This window comes from Homo sapiens, chromosome 15, assembly GCF_000001405.40.
Source record: "Homo sapiens chromosome 15, GRCh38.p14 Primary Assembly".
NCBI classification, from domain to species: Eukaryota; Metazoa; Chordata; class Mammalia; order Primates; family Hominidae; genus Homo; species Homo sapiens.
Window position 1 is genome coordinate 71,119,959 of NC_000015.10, and position 19,399 is coordinate 71,139,357.

General features: G+C 44.9%; 1 protein-coding gene across 3 annotated transcripts in view, besides 1 other annotated feature; it reads left to right on the top strand.

Annotated features, from left to right (window-relative positions):
- The window catches only part of THSD4 (thrombospondin type 1 domain containing 4), a 686,490-nt gene that overhangs the window by 23,065 nt on the left and 644,026 nt on the right, over positions 1-19,399 (top strand). The window contains exon 1 of one of the 3 annotated variants that reach the window (XM_047433080.1): positions 10,561-10,579. The exons of the other annotated variants lie outside the window; for them this stretch is intronic. The gene's annotated coding sequence lies outside the window, so the exon portion shown is untranslated. Of the gene's footprint in view, positions 1-10,560; positions 10,580-19,399 lie in introns of those variants that run through there. 3 annotated transcript variants of the gene reach the window in all.
- Positions 123-639: an enhancer, noted in NCBI's record as "H3K4me1 hESC enhancer chr15:71412420-71412936 (GRCh37/hg19 assembly coordinates)". NCBI's record gives its function as "activates a minimal SCP1, AML or CMV promoter by ChIP-STARR-seq in primed H9 embryonic stem cells {active_cell/tissue: H9 hESC(primed)}" and the evidence as "EXISTENCE:reporter gene assay evidence [ECO:0000049][PMID:30033119]".

Sequence of the window (19,399 nt, forward strand, 5' to 3'; positions counted from 1 at the left end):
AAAGCCCTAAGGCACATAGCAGGCGCTCAGTGTTAGTTCTCGCCCCATTTCTTTACTCTGTGCCTGATCAGTGCTTGAGACAATTGGAGCTCAATGTATTGCTGTAACAAAAATGTATATGTAATCTCAGGCCCCCTCAAATCCAGGGTTTTGTGTCTGAAGGGCACAGGGCTGAATGTTACAACTGTGTATTCAAACCCAGCAAATGAACACTCCCAGCTGCGCGGTGATAGTAATAATGAATTACCCATCCAACATCCCTGCTCGCCCCACTCCCCTTCCCCAGCTTCCCTTTAGATTGCCCAAAGAAGAACCCATGGAACAAGAGGCAGCAGTTTTGTGTATTGATGCGTTGTCTTGGGAAAGTGGTCTCTTTCTGTTGACCTCTTTTCCTGTCTACCCCGTCACCCAGCTGAGTGTACTGCCTATGTTGTCTTCTCCTACCAGCCTTTCCGAAGCTGATCACTGAGGTGTCATCCCAGGCATTGGCGCCCATTAGCCCTGCTTCTCTAGGGCGTGGTCCGAGGGCAGTGAGCCAGGTTCACAGTGCCGCTGTGTCTTGTCCCAGGAGGGTGGCACTGGGCACCCCACAACCGGGTGGGCAGCATGTGGCCTGCTCCACCCTCCTGGCCCTTGGCCAGCTGCCTAAGGCCTGGCCAGCAGTGAGGACAAAAGCACGGAGTGATTAATGGGCACCCCATCTAATCTCCTGCCAGGGGAAATGAAGGGCCAGCCATGGGCTGGGAGCTCGTCATGACCTGCTCCAGGTGGGCTTGGAATGCACCCAGCTCAGGATGGGGATTAAGGCTTGAAAGACAAGAGGAAATGAGATGTTAACCCTTTAGGCCTTGGCCCTCTGAGCCCCAGTAGGGAAATCACAGGGGAATTATCTGCAGGCATCTGATGAAAGGGGGCATCAGCTTTGATTTATGGTGGGGATGCAGCCATGTGACTACAGGGGTGGGAGGATGACGAGCTTTGACTTAACCATTTTTCTTGGAGGCACAGTCAGGAGAGAGAAGAAGATTAATTTCCCATGAAAAAGGATAAATGGACTGCTGGGAGGCTGCCCTACCTGCTTCCTTCTTGGAAACCCTCCGACCATATCAGCAAGCTACAAATTTGTAGTTGCCAGACATACTTTTCCCCCTGAAATGTCGCGTCTCTGATCACTTGTGATGTGAAGGAAGAGGGAGCCCACCTCCTTTCCCCGGCCAGGCAGCAGCGTGGTGGTGCTGAGGAGGAGAGCACTCTGGAGCCAGGTCCTGAGTTTGAGCCTTGGCTCTACCAAGTTTTGGGCCTTGAACAGGTTCCTTGGCCTCTTGGGCTGTAGTTTTTCCACCTGGAAAATGCTCAAAACTATCTCAGGCGTGTAGAAAAGTGCCACTTGAATGTTAGCTATCACTTTTTTTTTTTTTTCCCCACTTTGGCTGAGTCCTGAGCCTGCATCTCCTTTGGGAAGCACAGAAGCAACTTCTCTTCCAGGGCGCCAAGGCTTGCTTTGGGTAAATTGACAACTGACTCTTTGATTGATCTCCCTTGTTTGACCCCTGACCCTCACATGCCTTGGATTCTGTCTGGCTTGCTCCTCCCTTTGCTCCAGCTCCATGGTTTCCAGCTGCCCCTTTGATGACATTACCCTGCCCCTCGTCTCCTGCCCTCATGCTAGGTTGTCAGACTACTTGTGGGCTGGGCTGTGACATCTGTTGGGTCCTCCAGTGGTACTGGCCAATTCTGCACTGGCTCTGCTCCTTGCTAGCTTTGTTGTGACCTGATAGTCCCAAGCCAAGTGGCTGAGGGTAGAGAATGCAGCTGTCTTGAGAGGAAAATCAGGAGCCGTGGAGGCCGTCTGGCCTGGATGCAAATCCCCACTCTGCCCTGTTTTCTGGTTTCTCTGCCCTCTCATTGCCTTGTTCTTGGTGGGGGATAATAATAGTTATACTTACCTAATGATTGACAGGAGGATCAAATCCAACCGTGCACATGAGGCCGCTTGGGAATCATGTAGGGGAGTTTATTGCTGGTTGTAAGGTGAGCCCTGAGGGTAGAGCTGTGTCTTCAAGTTTTGAAGTCTCATTACAGGGCGTGTAGTGACAGTATAGCCTTTAGTTCCATTTAGTTTCTTTTCCAGAGCAGACAAGTACCCAGGACCTGCTTGACTTTAGCGATATTTTAGTTGAGGCCCAGGATTTCATTCTGCTTGAAGTTCAGAGGATCTTCTGGTCAGCTAAGCGGGGAGGAGCTGCCATTACAGAGCTCCGTGTCAGGTACTGGGATTTACCTGCGTTCTTTTATTTAATCCTCTCAACAACCTGTGTGAACTAGACACTATTATTTCTACTCTACAGCTAGAAAACTGAGGCTCAGAGAGGCTAAGGAATGTTCACAGGCTCACACAGCAAGTAGACATCAGAATGATGTTTCAATTTCAAGTCATCTGACTCCAAAACAAATACTGGCGGTGGGGCCGGAGGGAGGAACTCTCAGGCCAGTTAGTGAGTATCTCAGTGAGGAAAGGTCTCTCCCTGCTCTCAGCCTCTTACAGGATGCTCTGTCTTCTTGGCCTCTTTCACATGAGCGCATATACGCATAATGCCACTGCTAATATTGCTCTGTTTTCTCCTTGATATCGGCTTATGTTTTAATTTAGCACATGCAGATTTGTCTTTTCAACTAACAGGATTTTGTGTCAACATTTCCCACTTGCCACCTAAGCAGGGTTCCCATTTTTTAAAGCACAATGATGCTTTTCATCATTTTGCTCCATCACGGTTTCCTTAGCCATTCCCCACCCTCTATCAGGGATCTAGGTTGTTTCTAGTTTCTCCCACTCTAAAAATTGGCACTACCAACGTGAATGTTCAATTTGCTGATGTTTATTTATTTCTGATCTCATGTTCTGCTTTGGAAATACACTTCCCAGCCATGTGATTACCAGGTCAAAAGCAAGAGCTGTAATAAGAGTGGTCCGTGCTGCTCATGGGGTCTTCAGAGAAATTGCACTTGGGAGGCCCAGACAAGGGGGACCCAGAAACAGAACAGGTGCTTGTTTTCTGCCTACCCTTCCTTTCCTCACTAGTTACTGTTCTTTCCTGAGGCTCAGATTGGAGGAACTTGATACCTCACTCTTAGCAAGGGGTGTGAGAGGTACTGTTCGAGTGGTGACTTTCTGAGTTCCAGAGAGGGAAGTTATTTCAGTGTCCACAGAGGTCTCTTGGAGTGGAAGGTCTTGGCTGCTTCTGAGATTGCGCTGCTGTGCGTTAGTGGTCCTGTGTGGGCATTGCTATGCAGTCATTCACTCAGGCATCCAGTGCTTTCTGAGCCCCTACTGTGCATCAGGTGGCAGTGCCATGCACTGTAAAGTGTGTGAATTCCAGACCTGACTCTGCATGTGTGGCTTTGGGTAGATTAATCTCTTTAAGCTTCAGTTTCCTCATGTATGAAATGGGCTAACAATCTCTGTACATGCCGTAGGAATTAGAGGAGAGAGCATAGGTAAGGTGTCTGCTCAAGCCTACAATGCATGAAGGGCCAACTGTTGTGCAGGTGAACACTAGAACTTCTTTCTTCTTACAGATGAAGAAGGTGTATTCTTGCCTGGGAGTGTGAGAGGCGGGGAGTAATAGTATACTTACAGCCTTAGCAGCGGGCAGGTGAGAGGAAAATCACTGTGATAAACATGCCGTAGAGAGGCTGGGGGACCCAGACAGGCATCAGATTCAGATTGGTGGGAATTCAGAAAGACCTGGGGTGGGATCTGCCTCCCAACAGGAGGAAACAAGGTTGGGGGAGAGGGAAGAGGGAGAAAGGAAGTAGAAGCCTGTTGTGTTTTATGGGAGGGCTACATTCTTGAAGACCTCGCGGTATTCAGATCTCTCATAATTCAGACTTTTCCCCCTACAGAATAAATGTGGAGCGTGCATTTACTTGATATGGTCTCAAAACACATAGCTTTGCTTTGCTGTTGCTTCTCATATGGTCGCACTCTCTCTCACATTGCACAGTGGGCTCACTCATAAATTACCCACTTGGTATCTCGTGATGCTTTTTTGGCTTTCTCAGTTGCCAAGCTGGTGGTCGTGGTTGTTGCTGTTATCATCACCATCATCATCATCTCTGTGTGTTTTCAGTCTGACACCAGCACCACCATTTGACAGACTGTCAAGATTGGGGGTCCGCATATTTTCTTGGAAAGGGCCAAACATTAATATTTTGACTTTGCAGGCTATGTGGTCTTTGTTGCAACTAATCAGCTTTGCCTTTTGAGTGCAAAAGAAGCCATAGACAATAGATAAATGAACAGGCAGGACTGTGTTCCAGTGAAACTGACTTATGGGCACTGCAATTTTAATTTCATATAATTTTTATATGCCATAAAATGTTCTTTTCTTGATTTTTATTCAATCATTTGAAAATGTGGCAAAAACAGGCAGAGGGTCAGGTTTAACCTGTGGGCCAGAGTTTGTGGACCCCTGGTCTAGACGCTTACAATATTTGAAAATTGTTTTAAATTGTAGGAAGAGTGAATGTTAAAATATCCTGATAGTCAACAAAATCATTCACGGACATTCCAGTGCTCATAAGAAAAATGCTTAATTCACAAGTTCTGTCAAAAGATTGGGGTATTTATCAGCTTGAATGGTACCAACATAGGCGGTTCCTTTAATACAATTTTAAATTATTTAGGTAGTTATTCTAGTGAATTAAAAATTTTAAATCATATTATTTCAAAATTTTGGTACCCAATAACCTTATTAATATTGTTATTGTCATTCTATTTCGTGACTTAAATTGTGTACCCTGGCTAGGCACGGTGGCTCATGCCTGTAATCCCGGCACTTTGGGAGGCCGGGATGAGAAGATCGCTTGAGCCCAGGAGTTCGAGACCAGCCTGGGCAACAAAGTGAGACTCCATCTCTACAAAACATCAAACTATTAGCCAGGCATGGTGGTGTGCACCTGTGGTCCCAGCTGGTGGTGTGCACCTGTGGTCCCAGCTACATATATGGGAGGCTAAAGTAGGAGAATTGCTTGAGCCCAGGAGTTTTGAGGCTGCAGTGAGCCATGTTCATGCAACTGCAATCCAACCTGGGTGACAGAGTGAGACCCAGCCAGAAAGAGAAGAGAAGAGGAGAGAAGGTGAAGAGGAAGGGGAAAGGGAAGGAGAAAGGAAGGCAAGGAAAGGGAAAGGAAAAGAAAAGAGAAAAGAGAAGAAAAGAAAAAATTTTATACCCTACACTGGTTTATTATTGTGTACTCTCCTGGAGTCCAGCAGCTCTGCCTGACTCCCAACAGCCTGCTGGCTGGAGTTTGGAACTTGATTCTAGCTGGAATTTTTTTATTGTAAAAGGCAGGCGAGAGCATAGACGGAGCACCAAGGCTTGTGTCTGGCACACAGTGAATGTGGAATAAACTTTTGCTCCCTCTTTTCCCTTTTCTTTCCTCCTCACTCAAAAGTTCTGTATATTTGGTCAGATCCAAAACATGCTGAGCCTCTTTGAAATTGTTACTTTGGTTCTTTCCACATGCAATAAAGTCACTAACCTTTTTAAATGGAAACAAAAACAAAGACTGTTAGAAAGCAGAGTTTCCCCTCCCGGGTCACCAGCTTTCCCTTACTGGAGAATAAGCAGGGCTGTGCTGAGACCGCGGCTGGCCAGCCAGGGCCAGAGGGAGGCCCCAGGTCCGAAGAAGGCGCCTCCAGCTGGGTGCAGACCCAGCTCTCCAGTCAGGAGGGGGGCGCCAGGCCTGCTGGCTGCTCCTGGGTGTATCTTGGTTTCAGAGATTCCAACAGTAGGAAAGCCAGAACCTCTCCAGATGGAAGACCACCAGCCCCGAAGGTGACTGTGGTGCTGTGGTTCTTGGCTCGGGAACATGTTTTTGCTGTGTATGTTGGATGGGAGACCCGTCTTAAGTAGACGTGTGTTTGTGTTGTTTAGGGGGTGGTGGCGCACAGCCACATGTGCTTTCTGGCCTGGGGTCTGGCAGGATGTGAAGGGAGGCAGCCGCTCGCTGTCCTTTGGCTGGTGAGATCTTTCATTATTCTGTTGGGCAGGGGGCTGGCATTCTTCCTGTGTGTTTGGTTTAGAAGCGAGTGGTCTTGCAGCCAAGGGCATGGGCGTTGAGCCCCAGCTTTGTCACTAACTTGTTTGACGTCCAGCAATCCATTTCCATCTCCGGGACACTAATTCTTCATTCCTACTGGCGTGGTCAGAGGAGGCCTAGTGGACAGTCAGGGCTCTTACCACCACCCAGCAGTAACGAAGCCATGCATCCCTCTGAGCCTCCCTGCTGTGGTACCAGCACAGGCCACAGGAGGCTCTCCTGCCCCTCCAAGCCAGGGACATGTCATTGGGGACCTGGTGGGGAGCTGGAACTCCCACCTCTACCCAGAAGCAATGACGACTCCCCTTTCCCCCTCGGGTGTTACTAGAGGCCAAGTGGGGAACCTGGCCTTCTGTTCCCACGTGGCCATCATGTTGGGGGCCCCCTTCCTTGCTGGAGCAGTGTCAGAAGAAGCCAGGGAATAGGGAAAGTTTAAATAAGATCTAGCACCTCATACCATAATACCTAAAATGTCCAGGTTTCAATGGAAAATCACTCATCACACTGAGAACCAGGAAGATCTCACACTGAATGAAAAAGACAATCAGTTGATGCCAGCACTGAGTTGACAGAGATGTGGGAATATCTCACAAAGACTTTGAAGCGGCCATCATAAAAATGCCTCAAGGAGCAATTATGACCATGCCTGAGGCAAATAAAGAAAATATAAATGAGAAGTCTCAGCAAAGAAATAGAAGAATCAAATGGAAATTTTATTTTCAAAAAATTGTAAAACATTTTATTGTAGATTGACAATTTATAACTGCATTATATTATGGGGCACAAAGTGATGCTATGATTTATGAATACAATGTGGAATAATGAAATCAACCTAACATATTCCTCACCTCAAATACTTATCATTTTTTGTAGTGAGAATATCTGAAATTTACTCTTAGGAAGTTTGAAATGTACAAAATACTGCTATTAACTATTTTCACTGCACTATGCAATAGATCTCAAAAAAGGCTTATTCCTCCTGTCTGAGTCTCTCTACCCTTTAACCATAACCTCACCATTGCCCCCACCCTCCAGCCTCTGTAGCTACCATTCTACTCTTTGCTTCTGTGAGTTTGATGTTTTAGATTCCACATATAAGTAAAAACATGTGGTATTTGTCTTTCTGTGCCTGGCTTATTTCATTTAGCTTAATGTCCTGCAGGTTCATCCATGTTGTAGCATGTAGGATTTTCTTCCTTTTTAAGGTTGAATAATGTCCCATCATATGCATAGGTATACCATGTTCATCTGTTGATGGACACATAGATTGATTCCATGACTTGGCTATTGTGAATAGTGCTGCATTGAACATGGGAGTGCAGATCTCTCTTGACAAACTGATTTCAAATCTTTTGGGTAAATACCCAGAAGTGGGATTCCTAGATCATATGGTAATTCTATTTTTAGTTCTTTGAGGAAGCTCTATACAATTTTCCATAATGGCTGTACTAATTTACATTCCCACCAATAGTATGCAAGATTTTCTTTTTCTCCACATACTCACCAACACTTGATTTATTTTATCTTTTTGATAATAGCCATTCTGACAGGTGTGAGATGATATCTCACTGTGGTTTTAATTTGCATTTCCCTAAAGGTTAGCAATGTTGAGGATCTTTTTATATACCTGTGGGCTGTTTGTGTATCTTTGTTTGAGAAATGTCTATTCAGGTCCTCTGCCCATTCTTTAATTGGGTTTTTTATTTTCTTACTGTTGAGTTGTTTGAGTTCCTTATATATTTTGGATATTAACCCCTTATTGGATGTTTGGCTTTCAGATATTTTCTCCCATTCTGTGGGTTGTCTCTTTACACTATTGTTTCCTTTGCTGTGCAGAAGCTTTTTAGTTTCATGTAATCCTATTTGTCTATTTTTGCCTGCACTTCTGGGGTTAAATACAAAAAATTATTCCAGGCCAGCGTCTTGTAGTATTTCTCCTATGTTTTCTTCTAGTAATTTTACAGTTTCTAGCATTACATTTAAGTCTTTAATCCCAAATGGAAATTTTAGAATGGAAAAATATAATAACAAAAATAAAACTTCACTGATGGGTTAAACAGCAGAATGGAGATGACAGGAAAGAATCAGTGGATTGGAAGATGTAACGATAGAAATTACCCAACCTGAGCAACAGATATAAAAATAGACTGGGAAAGAAGAAAAAAAAAAAGAATAGAGTCTCAGGGACCTGTAAGACTATAACATGTAATCCCAGCACTTTGGGAGGCCGAGGTGGGTAGATCACCTGAGGTCAGGAGTTTGAGACCAGCCTGGCCAACACGGTGAAATCCAATCTCTACTAAAAATAGAAAAATCAGCTGGGCATAGTGGCACATGTCTGTAATCCCAGCTACTTGGACGGCTAAGGCAGGAGAATCACTTGAACTCGGGAGGCAGAGGTTGCCATGAGCCAAGATCACGCCACTGCACTCCAGCCTGGGTGACACAGTGAGACTCTGCCTCAAAAAAAAAAAAAAAGGCTATAACAAAAGATCTAACATTTTTGTCTTTGAAGACAAAGGAGGAGGAAAAAGAGAGTGGGATGAAAAACTACTCAGTGAAATACTGGTTGAAAACTTCCCAAATTGAGCATAAGACTCAAACTTAGAGATTCAAGAAGCTGAGCAAACCCTAAATAGAAAGAAAGTTATACCAAGACATATCATAGTCAAACTTTTGAAAACAAATTTGAAAAAGAAGAATAAAGGAGGGGGAATGAGTGTTTCTGGTTTTAACATGTACATAGCTATAACAATGAAGAGAGTGTTGTATTGGTGAGGGAAAGGCACATAGATTAGTGGAATACTATAGACAACCTGGAAGTACACCCATCTGATTTTTGACAAAGGTGCATAGGGAAATCAGAGAACATTAATTGCAATTATCTGGATGATGGTTTAGATGAGGCTGGTGGAGGAGGCTGGTGGAGGATGGAGAAGAAAGTACATGAGAGATAGTACAAAGGAAGAATTGAGAGTTGGCAAGAGACTGGGCCCAAGGCATACAGGAGAGGGTATCCCAGAGGCCCAGGCAAGCTTTGAGAGTCATTTCCTGGAAGGACGGTTATGCCACCGCTGAAGAAGGAGGGCTTAGCATGAGCTGGTGACGGCTCCTTTTATTCACCTTGGGCCATCAGCAGCAGGAGGAAACTCGAAGTACAGGGAAGCTGCCTGAATGAGCGTGCAGGTCTTGAGGTGTTGAGTTTTTGAGACCTTAGCATGAAATAATAAAGAGGTTGGAGTGTAAGAGTATTTCTCCAGAGTACACAGTTTGATAGTGAGGGTTGCTTATTGTTGACATTTTTCTAGTTCTGGTTTGAGTCATAGGGAGAGCCAACAAGGAAGACAGAAGAGACAGGAAGAGAGCAGGTTTGTAGGGCATCGTAGCCATTGATGACAAAGTTCAAGAAAAAGGGGGATAGTGACAGCCTATTCTTTCTAAACCTAAATGCCCTTTATTGTCCTTCTTGACCTCTGGGGGACCCTTGACCTCCAAGGATGTGCCTCTCTTGGTTTCCTTGAAAACATTTTCTAATTTATGTGATGACTGACTTTTTCACATTGTCATAATCTTTTAATCACAGCACCTGATTTTAGCCTTACCTAATACTGGCCCATCACAGAATTGTGTCAAGGAAGTCAGACTAATTTGCTAGGTTTCTCCCTCCTTCTGTAAGGATAGACAGAGTTTTTTGGCATACGTTGCACAGTGGTGATTGCTACAAATCATTGACTAGATTTCTATCACTTAAAAAAATAATGACATAACTCAAACGTCAATGCGCAAGCCTCAGGAGCAGGGCAGGATGAGGCAGATCCTTTCCCTTGATATTCAGAAGCATTGAGGGCAGCATGTGTGGTTGGCTGATTTATGGTGGCCGAGGCACACTGAGTTGGGATGTTTTCTGGATGGTCAAATGCGTGGAGGCACTGAGAAAATATCCTGGACTCAAGGGCGGAGCTGTTCCAGAGTGAATGGGGCAGAGCACAACCTCACACCCTACATCTTGCCTGGCAGGGGCCCAGGCTGCAGCCTGCATGCTGTGTACCAGGTAAATGTGAACACAGGCAACTCTCCTGAAAAGGTACATTTGATGCAGTGTGTCAGGAGACTCAAGAGACAGTTTATTTTTATTTTTTTGAGACAGAGTCTTTCTCTGTTGACCAGGCTCGAGTGCAGTGGCATAGTCTCGGTTCATTGCAGCCTTGAGCTCTCCGGCTCAATCGATCCTCCCACCTCAGCCTCCTGAGTAGCTAAGACTACAGGCATGTGCCACCACACCCAGCTATTTTTTTGTATTTTTTGTAGAGATGGAGTTTCGCCATGTTGTCCAGGCTGCTCTCGAACTCCTGAGCTCAAGTAATTCTCAACCTTGGCCTCCCGAAGTGCTGGGATTACAGGCATGAGCCACTGCGCCCGGCCCTGAGAGGCAGTTTAATTTAGTGCTAAGACAAGCCATGACTCCAACAATTAGGTGAGCTTGCATTCAAATCGTGCTGCTGCCACTTACTACTTGTGTGACTCTGAGTAGGCATACTGTTTTAATTCTTACAGCCTCAGTTTCCTTCTATGTAAAATGGGGATAGGAATAGCACCTGCTTCATAGGGTTGTCTTTAGAATTAGTTAATGTTTAAAAAGCATTCAGCACAACCTGTCACATATTATACACCTAATAAATGTTATTTATTTAATTTTTTTGAGACGGAGTCTTGCTGTGTTGCCCAGGCTGGAGTGCAGTGGTGCAATCTCAGCTCGCTGCAAGCTCCGCCTCCCGGGTTCACGCCATTCTCCTGCCTCAGTCTCCCGAGTAGCTGGGACTACAGGCGCCCGCTACCACGCCCGTCTATTTTTTTGTATTTTTAGTAGAGACGGGGTTTCACCGTGTTAGCCAGGATGGTCTCAATCTCCTGACCTCGTGATCCGCCTGCCTTGGCCTCCCAAAGTGCTGGGATTACAGGTGTGAGCCACTGTGCCCGGCCAATAAATGTTAACTTTTAAAATCTTTAGTCCTAGCTTTGCCTCTAAGTAGCTGTGATACCTTGTACCAGTCACGTGGTTTCTTTACCTATTAGTTTATTCATCTTTGAATCATGATGACAAAATAATGACATTGGGGAGTTAGATTAGAATTGCCCAGTTTTTGTGTGTGTAGGTTTGCTTTGGGATGAGATGTCCAGCAGAAAATCACAATGGAAATAATTGATTTAAAGACACTAAATAAAAATGTATTTATTTAATAATTATAAATAAAATTAGAAGATGAAAAGCAAACGAAAACAAGGTCCTAACTTGACAAAATAAGGGCTAACAATGTTAATGAAGAAAGAGCTCTTAAAAATCATTTCAAAACATGGCCGGGCACGGGTGGCTCGCGGAGCGAGTCTCACAGAGCGAGACTCCATCTGAAAAAAAAAAAAAAATCATTTCAAAACATTATGAGCCCTATAGAAAAATGGGCAAATAAGGTTGTAAAAAATTCACAGAAGAGACAGTATACATGACTAATAAAAATGAAAATCGATTCCAACTTTACCAATAATCACAGGAGTACATGTTAAAATGACTTTTACCATTTTTTTTCCCTATTGTGACAAACACTGGCTAGTTTTTCACCAGAAGATTTCCTCCTGGGAACAGAGATAGACTGTGTTTCCCACACTCCTTTGCAGACAGGTATACTGCCATATGACTAAGCTGGGTAATGGAATATGAGTGGCAGTGATTTAAGCTACCTTAGTGAAGCTGCTAGCTCAGTCCTCTATGCCTTCTCTTTCCCCTTGTTTGTTCATGGAATGGAAAGAACCCAGGTGGAATTCCACCCGGACGATGGTGGAATCACTCGATGGAAAAAGGGTCCCCAGATGCCTGCATGACTGTGTGAAGTAGAATGTTCCCGACAACCTGCATCAGATAGTGACTTGAGCAAAAATCCTTTTACTATGTTAAGCCATTCACATTTTGAGGGGGTTTGTGGCAGAGTAACCCTACCCTAACTAATTACTTATCAAATTAGGAGAGATTGCAATCATAGCATTATTGGCAAATGTGTTTATTTCATCCACTACATGTGAGATTCTAGGTTGATACAATTGTTTTTGAAAATAATTCATTGTGAAGGACCTTAGTCATACCTTTTGGCTTAATGATTTCATTTTTTAGGAATTTATCCTAAGGAACAAGGAAGAGTAGCAAATAAGGAATTTTATACAACGGTGTTCATCATATTTTCCAACAATAAGGGAACATTATTAGATGTGTTATCAGGCATTCATAGGGTGGACTATTTTGCAGTGATTAGAAATGATTTTGAATATTACTAATGAGATGCTTATGAGGTAAGGTAAAAATAGAATACAAAGCTACATGTGTGATTTTGTTTTGTAGAAATAGTATATGTAAAATATGCAGATGATATGTATAAGCATTATGCATAGAAAAAATAAACAAGAACATCAAAAGGTTTAATGGTGTTGGGTTATTAGGTAATACAATTACAATTACAATGAGTAATTTTGGCTTTCCTCTTTGTATTTTTCTGTAGTTTCAAACTTTCCTTAATAAATAGATTTCCTTAATAAATAAATTTTATAGACAGATTTATTTCCAGAAGAATACCTCATTGGGTGTGTTCCACTCAGCCCTGAATCCTCACCTTGTGAATGAATGTGGTGTTTACTGTGTTTATTCTTTTAGTGTCAGTGCACTTGTTACACCTTCCTTCCCCAACACACGTATGTGTGTGTATGTGTGTACGCTCATGCACAGATGTACACACGTGCTCACCAGAGTGGCAAGAGGCCATTTGTAGGCAGCAGAACTGAGGCCTTGTATTGGAAAGCAGGAAGGAAGGCCTGAGCCCCCAGCTGCCTTTTCCTCCCCTGGCCACCTGCTTTTGGCCAAGGCAGCTGGAGAATATTGGTTTTTGGAATGAGATGGGTCATCATCTCGGAGAAAGGGCAGCACATCAGAAAAGCTGCAGCTCCCATGCAGAGCTCAGCCGTGGTAGTCTGATGTTTTTTCCTTTGGTAGCTATGACCCAGGGATTATAAACTGCTCTTGGCAGCGGATGCTGGGAAGAGGTTGAGTCTGAGAGTGGAGGAAGGCTGGAGTGTGTCTAGGTGTCTTTGATTCCTAGGTAGGGTGACCTGCATCTCATCACGGCTGTTTATTTGTGTGTTGTGGTCTTTAGGAGTAGGGTGGAGAATGTCATGTTAATTTCAGAAACAGCAGAAGAATGGAGTGGCTGTTTGGATCCTGGGCTGCGCAGTGGTGCCTCAGACAGGCAGCACAATCCTGCATGGAAAAGAAAGCCCCCACCTGAGTTTGAATGGAAGACCTTTCTGTCATCGGGAACACCTGCTGCACCCCAGGTGCTATTCTAGACACCAGAAATATAACAAATAAGTCTTTGAGGAAGAGGTCCTGTGTTGTGAGGGAGGAAAGACAAGCACAAATCATAATGATACGCTTTGACGATCCCTAGTTCTGCATCTGAGACTTGCACAGAAGCAGAAATTTAACCAGGTTAATCAAGTGCTGTAAATCAAGCAACGAAGTCAGTCATATCTAGGGAAGAAAAGCGCTCTTACTCCAAAGGTTTTTCCCCACTTTGATCTGCAGTATCATGTCATCTGAAATTGAAAAAGCAACTTTATACAGAAGCAGGAACAAATGGCTCATTTATTTTAAGTATCTTACCCGCCTGATATTTCTGCCCTTGAATATTTTCTTTAGTTACCTGGGAAACGTTTTTTTAGGACTGAAAACAGATATAAACCACACCACTGTTAATGACCATGAAAATGATGCAATTTGCATTGAAATCCTTAACTAATCTGTGCTGATTACCTAATTTCTCCAGGTGAGGACGGAGAAGCACGGTGTTTTCCTTAATGAGTAACAAAACCCACTGTAATGTGTTTGCTTGAAAGCTGCCAGGGAGTTTTAATAGATCTTCTCAAGGTTTAGTCCTAATCCAGATTCTGTGGGTTTTCACGCTGCTCTGGGCAAGCCAGCCAGTCTGCAGTGTGGGGGTTCCATGGGAAGAAATGAGTTCTGCAGCTGAGTTTGGATATGACAGGAACAAAAAGGACAGCCTCTGTGAGGTGGTAGGAGAAAGGACTGTGAGCCAAGGACATGTTGGGGGAACATTCCTCTGGCTGTCCTCATAGGCAGGGAGCAGCTGGAAATGTGACCGGGCCTGGGGCTCCAAGGTCAGCGTCCCTGAATACTTCTGGCCTGGGGCAGGATTTCCTGAAAGGGCTGTGACGATTGATGACCGCCACCAGAGAGCTCAGGAGGGTGGGACCTCCACAGAGGCAGCGTGCATCTGCAGTGGCTTAGCGCCTTCAGCGCCTTCATTCTCTTCCTAGGGCAGTCTAGACATTGGCTGAACATTGGCAAAAGCAGGGAGAGAGAAATCACATGGAGGCCCTGCTTTCTAAGAGGGAAAAGTCTGTAAGAAACTCGTGCCGTTCATTCTTCACCCATTCACCCATTCATTCGTTCATCCATTCATTTGTCCAACTGTGATTGCATGCCCGCCCTGTGTCGGCAGCATGTCTAATGGAAGGGCATTTGTAAAGAGGACTGAAAGAGTCTACCTTTAAGAAGCTTCCCTGAGGAATCGCCACACTGACTTCCACAATGGTTGAACTAGTTTACAGTCCCACCAACAGTGTAAAAGTGTTCCTATTTCTCCACATCCTCTCCAGCACCTGTTGTTTCCTGACTTTTTAATGATTGCCATTCTAAGGGATCTAGAACTAGAAATACCATTTGACCCAGCCATCCCATTACTGGGTATATACCCAAATGACTATAAATCATGCTGCTATAAAGACACATGCACACGTATGTTTATTGCGGCATTATTCACAATAGCAAAGACTTGGAACCAACCCAAATGTCCAACAATGATAGACTGGATTAAGAAAATGTGGCACATATACACCATGGAATACTATGCAGCCATAAAAAATGATGAGTTCATGTCCTTTGTAGGGACATGGATGAAATTGGAAACCATCATTCTCAGTAAACTATTGCAAGAACAAAAAACCAAACACCGCATATTCTCACTCATAGGTGGGAATTGAACAATGAGATCACATGGTCACAGGAAGGGGAATATCACACTCTGGGGACTGTGGTGGGGTGGGGGTAGGGGGGAGGGGTAGCATTGGGAGATATACCTAATGCTAGATGACGAGTTGGTGCAGCGCACCAGCATGGCACATGTATACATATGTAACTAACCTGCACAATGTGCACATGTACCCTAAAACTTAAAGTATAATAAAAAAAAAAAAGAAACTTACTAAATGACAAAAAAAAAAAAAAAAGAAGAAGCTTCCCATGCAGTGAGGGGCAAGTGTAAACAGGTATGTCTAGTATCTATTAAGGGAGATGATCTCCTCTCTTTCAACTTCTAGACTCTCCTGTGCCTGCCATTGTCAGCTAGCAAGTCTGCCCACCATATTGTTTATGAGGATGATTTAAAGCCTATGCCTTCCTCCGTTTTTCCCACTTGCTGTGGATAATAGCCATTTATTCAGGGGGTACCTTGAAGAAATAAGAGCATCCCTTTTTCTGCCTCTTGCTTTTGGGCCATTCTTCTTGGCAGCCTTCTCCAGCCAAAGCTCTTTCTCCAATGTACTGAGTTTTCTCAGATGGGGGTGGAGGGGACACTCCGCACATCTTGTCCTGGGCCTGCCCCCACCTCCATGCATTATGGGGCAGCCTCCTCCCAATAACTTCCTTGGCTTCCACCTCCATGCTTGCCCCTTCTCCTCCTCCCCTGTTGGCTCTGAGGGCCTTATTGGATCCCCGGTCCTGTCCTCTGTCATTCACACTGGGCTCTTTCTCCAGTATGGGGTTTGTTCATTCCCCAAACACACAAGTCCTTTGGTTTTTTGTTTAGTTTAGTTTTTTTTTTTTTTTTTTTTTTTTTTAAGACTCCAGAAGCTTTCCTGTCCACTCAACCAATCATCTTTCCCCAAACCCCGTTACTTATCCAGGTGCTGGTTCCCTGTGTCTGAGCTACCCTAGACCCGCTGTGTGGCCTTGGTTTGTTGTGAGGGTTGTATAGCATGACTTACGTCCCATCTCAGGTGGGACGATCCAGTAAAAGCCAATTCCCGACTCTTTTCTCATCATGCAAGAAAAAAGTGGTTTGGAACTGCCCTGATGTCGGGAGCCAACGTCCTGATGCTTTTATCCACCACCACCTAGAATGTCAGACTGGGGACGGTAGGGGCACTGCGAACAGATGGTCAAGGTTGCATAAGGAGAGTTTGCGTAAATGTCAGCAGGACAGGAGAGCATATTGGTGATGTTGGTACAGACAGGACAAGGCTGCAGTGGTGGAGGCTCCTGTCTTGCCCTGTTGGGACCCTCAGAGGCAGCTTTCCTAGGCAGGTTCTGAGAACGTGTCCTCACCACATGTGACTGGGTGCTGGATTTGGGGTCTGGAGCTACTTCCTTCTAGCATCTCTGGTCCTCATTCCTTGCCAGTGAGTCACTTCCCCTCCCCAGGGATGAGTGCTTTTGTTTGGGTAGTTGCTTTAGGCTGCGGGAGTTCCAGAGGACAGCGTGTGTAGGAGGGAGGGAGGGAGGGAGGTGGAACTGGCGCCTGCAGTGGGGCCTTCCTGAACCCCGACTTGAGAGACTGAGCAGATCCTTGTCTTCTGAGGCATGGGTTCCTCCAGGAGGGGGTCCTCCAGGAGTTCTGGTCAGGCCCTGAGGAGAAGGGGCAGGAAGGATACTCAGAGGTGGGCCTGTGTGTAAGGGGCGGCAGAATGGTGTCATAGTTCAGGCAGCATGGCATCCCTTCGGCTCAGGGAATCCTTTTCCACCCTTAGTTTGATGATCCTGACCCTCTGTCTGACCCCACCGTCCTGAGCCTTGGGCCTGCTGCTGCCTCCTCCTGGTGTGTGGGGATGGCCACTTTGGCCTGAACCAAATCAGGTGACTCATTCAACCTTCCTGTAGGATCTTTGTGGAAGGGAGAGAAGGTGGGGCCTCCATCTCCCAAGGAGCATATGTTCTAACAGAAACTAGATTGTTAGATTTTTTGTTCACTGTGAAGAAAGGTTATAAATCAACAGGAGCAAACCTCAAAAGGCGGACAGAGCTCCGCAGACAGCACGTGTGCTCAGCCCTCTCGGTGCACCCTTGCCAGACGGATATTTGGGAACCCTCACTCTTTCCAGGTCCCTCCCTGCTCTACAACCTACAATGGCTCTTTCTTGCCCATCTTGTCAACATTGGCCTGGCGCCACCTTTCAGGGCCTGAGATAATGTTTGGCTTTGCCTTGGCTTCTAGGTTTAATTCCCCACAATCACAGTTCTAGGCCTCCGCTGCCCTCTGGTCTTCCAGAATGAGGACTTTTAAACTTTTCTGGCTGGGATCCACAGTAAGAAATACCCTTATTATGCGTGATGAATGCAGGTATTTTTTTCTCTTATCTTTCATTCTTTTTTACTTATTAAAAAATGCTGTTCGTGACCCAAGAAATTAATTTCATGGCAGACTCATGAGTGGTGACCCCCAGTTTGAAAAGCAGGGCTGATTTAACACAATACTAATCACGGAAGCTCAAGTAACAGCCAAGAAGAATGGCAGAGCTGGAAACTGCCAGTGCAAGCTCATCAGCCGTATCCTGAGGGAGAAGTGACCAATCAAATCTGATAAGAAGTTGGTCCAAAAACATACTAGAGCAGTGGCCTCCAATAATTTTTTTTGATTGCACTGATTGTAACAATTTTTACATCAGTAAAAAAATAAGCATACAACTTCAATATATGTCTGGTTATTTATTTTGTTACTATCAGCAGTAAGGTTGCAAATCTGTTTTCAAAGGTTTTGATAATTTCAGATGTTTTTCCGGTTGACATCTTATCAGATCTGTTCAGGCAGTCTCCTCACTCTGGGGACAACTGCTCTCCCCCAAACCTTCTTCCTTTCATATTGCCCTTCCTTTCCTGACACAACCACTGTATCAGTCTGTTCTCATACTGCTATAAAGATCTACCCAAGACTGGGTCATTTATAAATAAAGGAGATTTAATTGACTCATAGTTCTGCATGGCTGGGGAGGCCTCAGGAAACTTACAATCATGGTGGAAGGGGAAGCAGGCACATCTTACATGGCGGCAGGTGAGAGAGAACAAGCAAGAGCAGGGAAAGCTACCTTATGAAACCATCAGATCTTGTGGGCACTCGCTCCCTATCACAAGAACAGCATGGGGGAAATTGCCCCCATGATCCAGTCACTTCCCACCTGGTCCCTCCCTTGACACGTGGGGATTATGGGGATTACAATTCGAGATGAGATTTGGGTGGAGACACAGAACCAAACATTGTCAACCACAAAATCTCCATTTGCTCCTTCTGTCCCCCAGAAATCTGGAGGGAGTTGTCTTTGACACCTCTCTTTCTCTTGTCACCTCAACCATTCACTTACTGTGTTCTGGGGACTTGACTGCCCAGTAGACAGTCAGCTCTTCCCACCTTCTCCTGCCACATTGCTTCCTTTTTCCTCCCACTCCTCACAAGAGCCTCCCTCTCCCTGGGATGCTTCCCTCCCCCCTCCACAAGGCCAACTCCTACTCACCCCTCAAGCCACCACGTATAGGCCACTGCCTCAGAGGGATCTTCTCTGATCACTGCCCAGGGCACTTTCTGAGGCACCTTGGACTTTCATGGCTCTTAATGCAATTTTATTTTTATACTTATTTATGATTTAGTTTGTTTAAAGAGTGTAGTTCTCCAGCATCGAGGCTGTAATTTCTTGGTGTGTGTGTGTGTGAGTGTGTGTGTGTGTGTTTGTGTTCAGCACTCAGGCCATACAGTCTAGATAAATATTTAATATAACAACCCTATGAGGTAGTTACAAACAGTATCCCTCCCCCCCCCATTTTACAGATGAAGAAAGGTTAATTGCCAAAGGTCAGCTAGTTAATAAATGTGAATGCTAGCCTCACACCCATTTCTTTCCAATTACAGTGTGCACACTTACCAACAATTCTAGATAGTTGATTTACTATCTCATTAGGCTAAGGCTTGAATTTAAGTCCCATCTACCTTGCTTATGCCAGACCATCCCTCTACAGCGATTCTGCTAGTTTGAGTTGTACTTAGGGTCTGAATGAACAGTTTACCCTGTGTTGTTCTGGATAATAACACCATCATTTTCCCCATGGTTCATCTCCCAGACCATTCCCACAGCACTGGAGAGGACCTGAGCCTACCACCTATTGAGTAAATAATTACTGATTAGTTGATGGTTA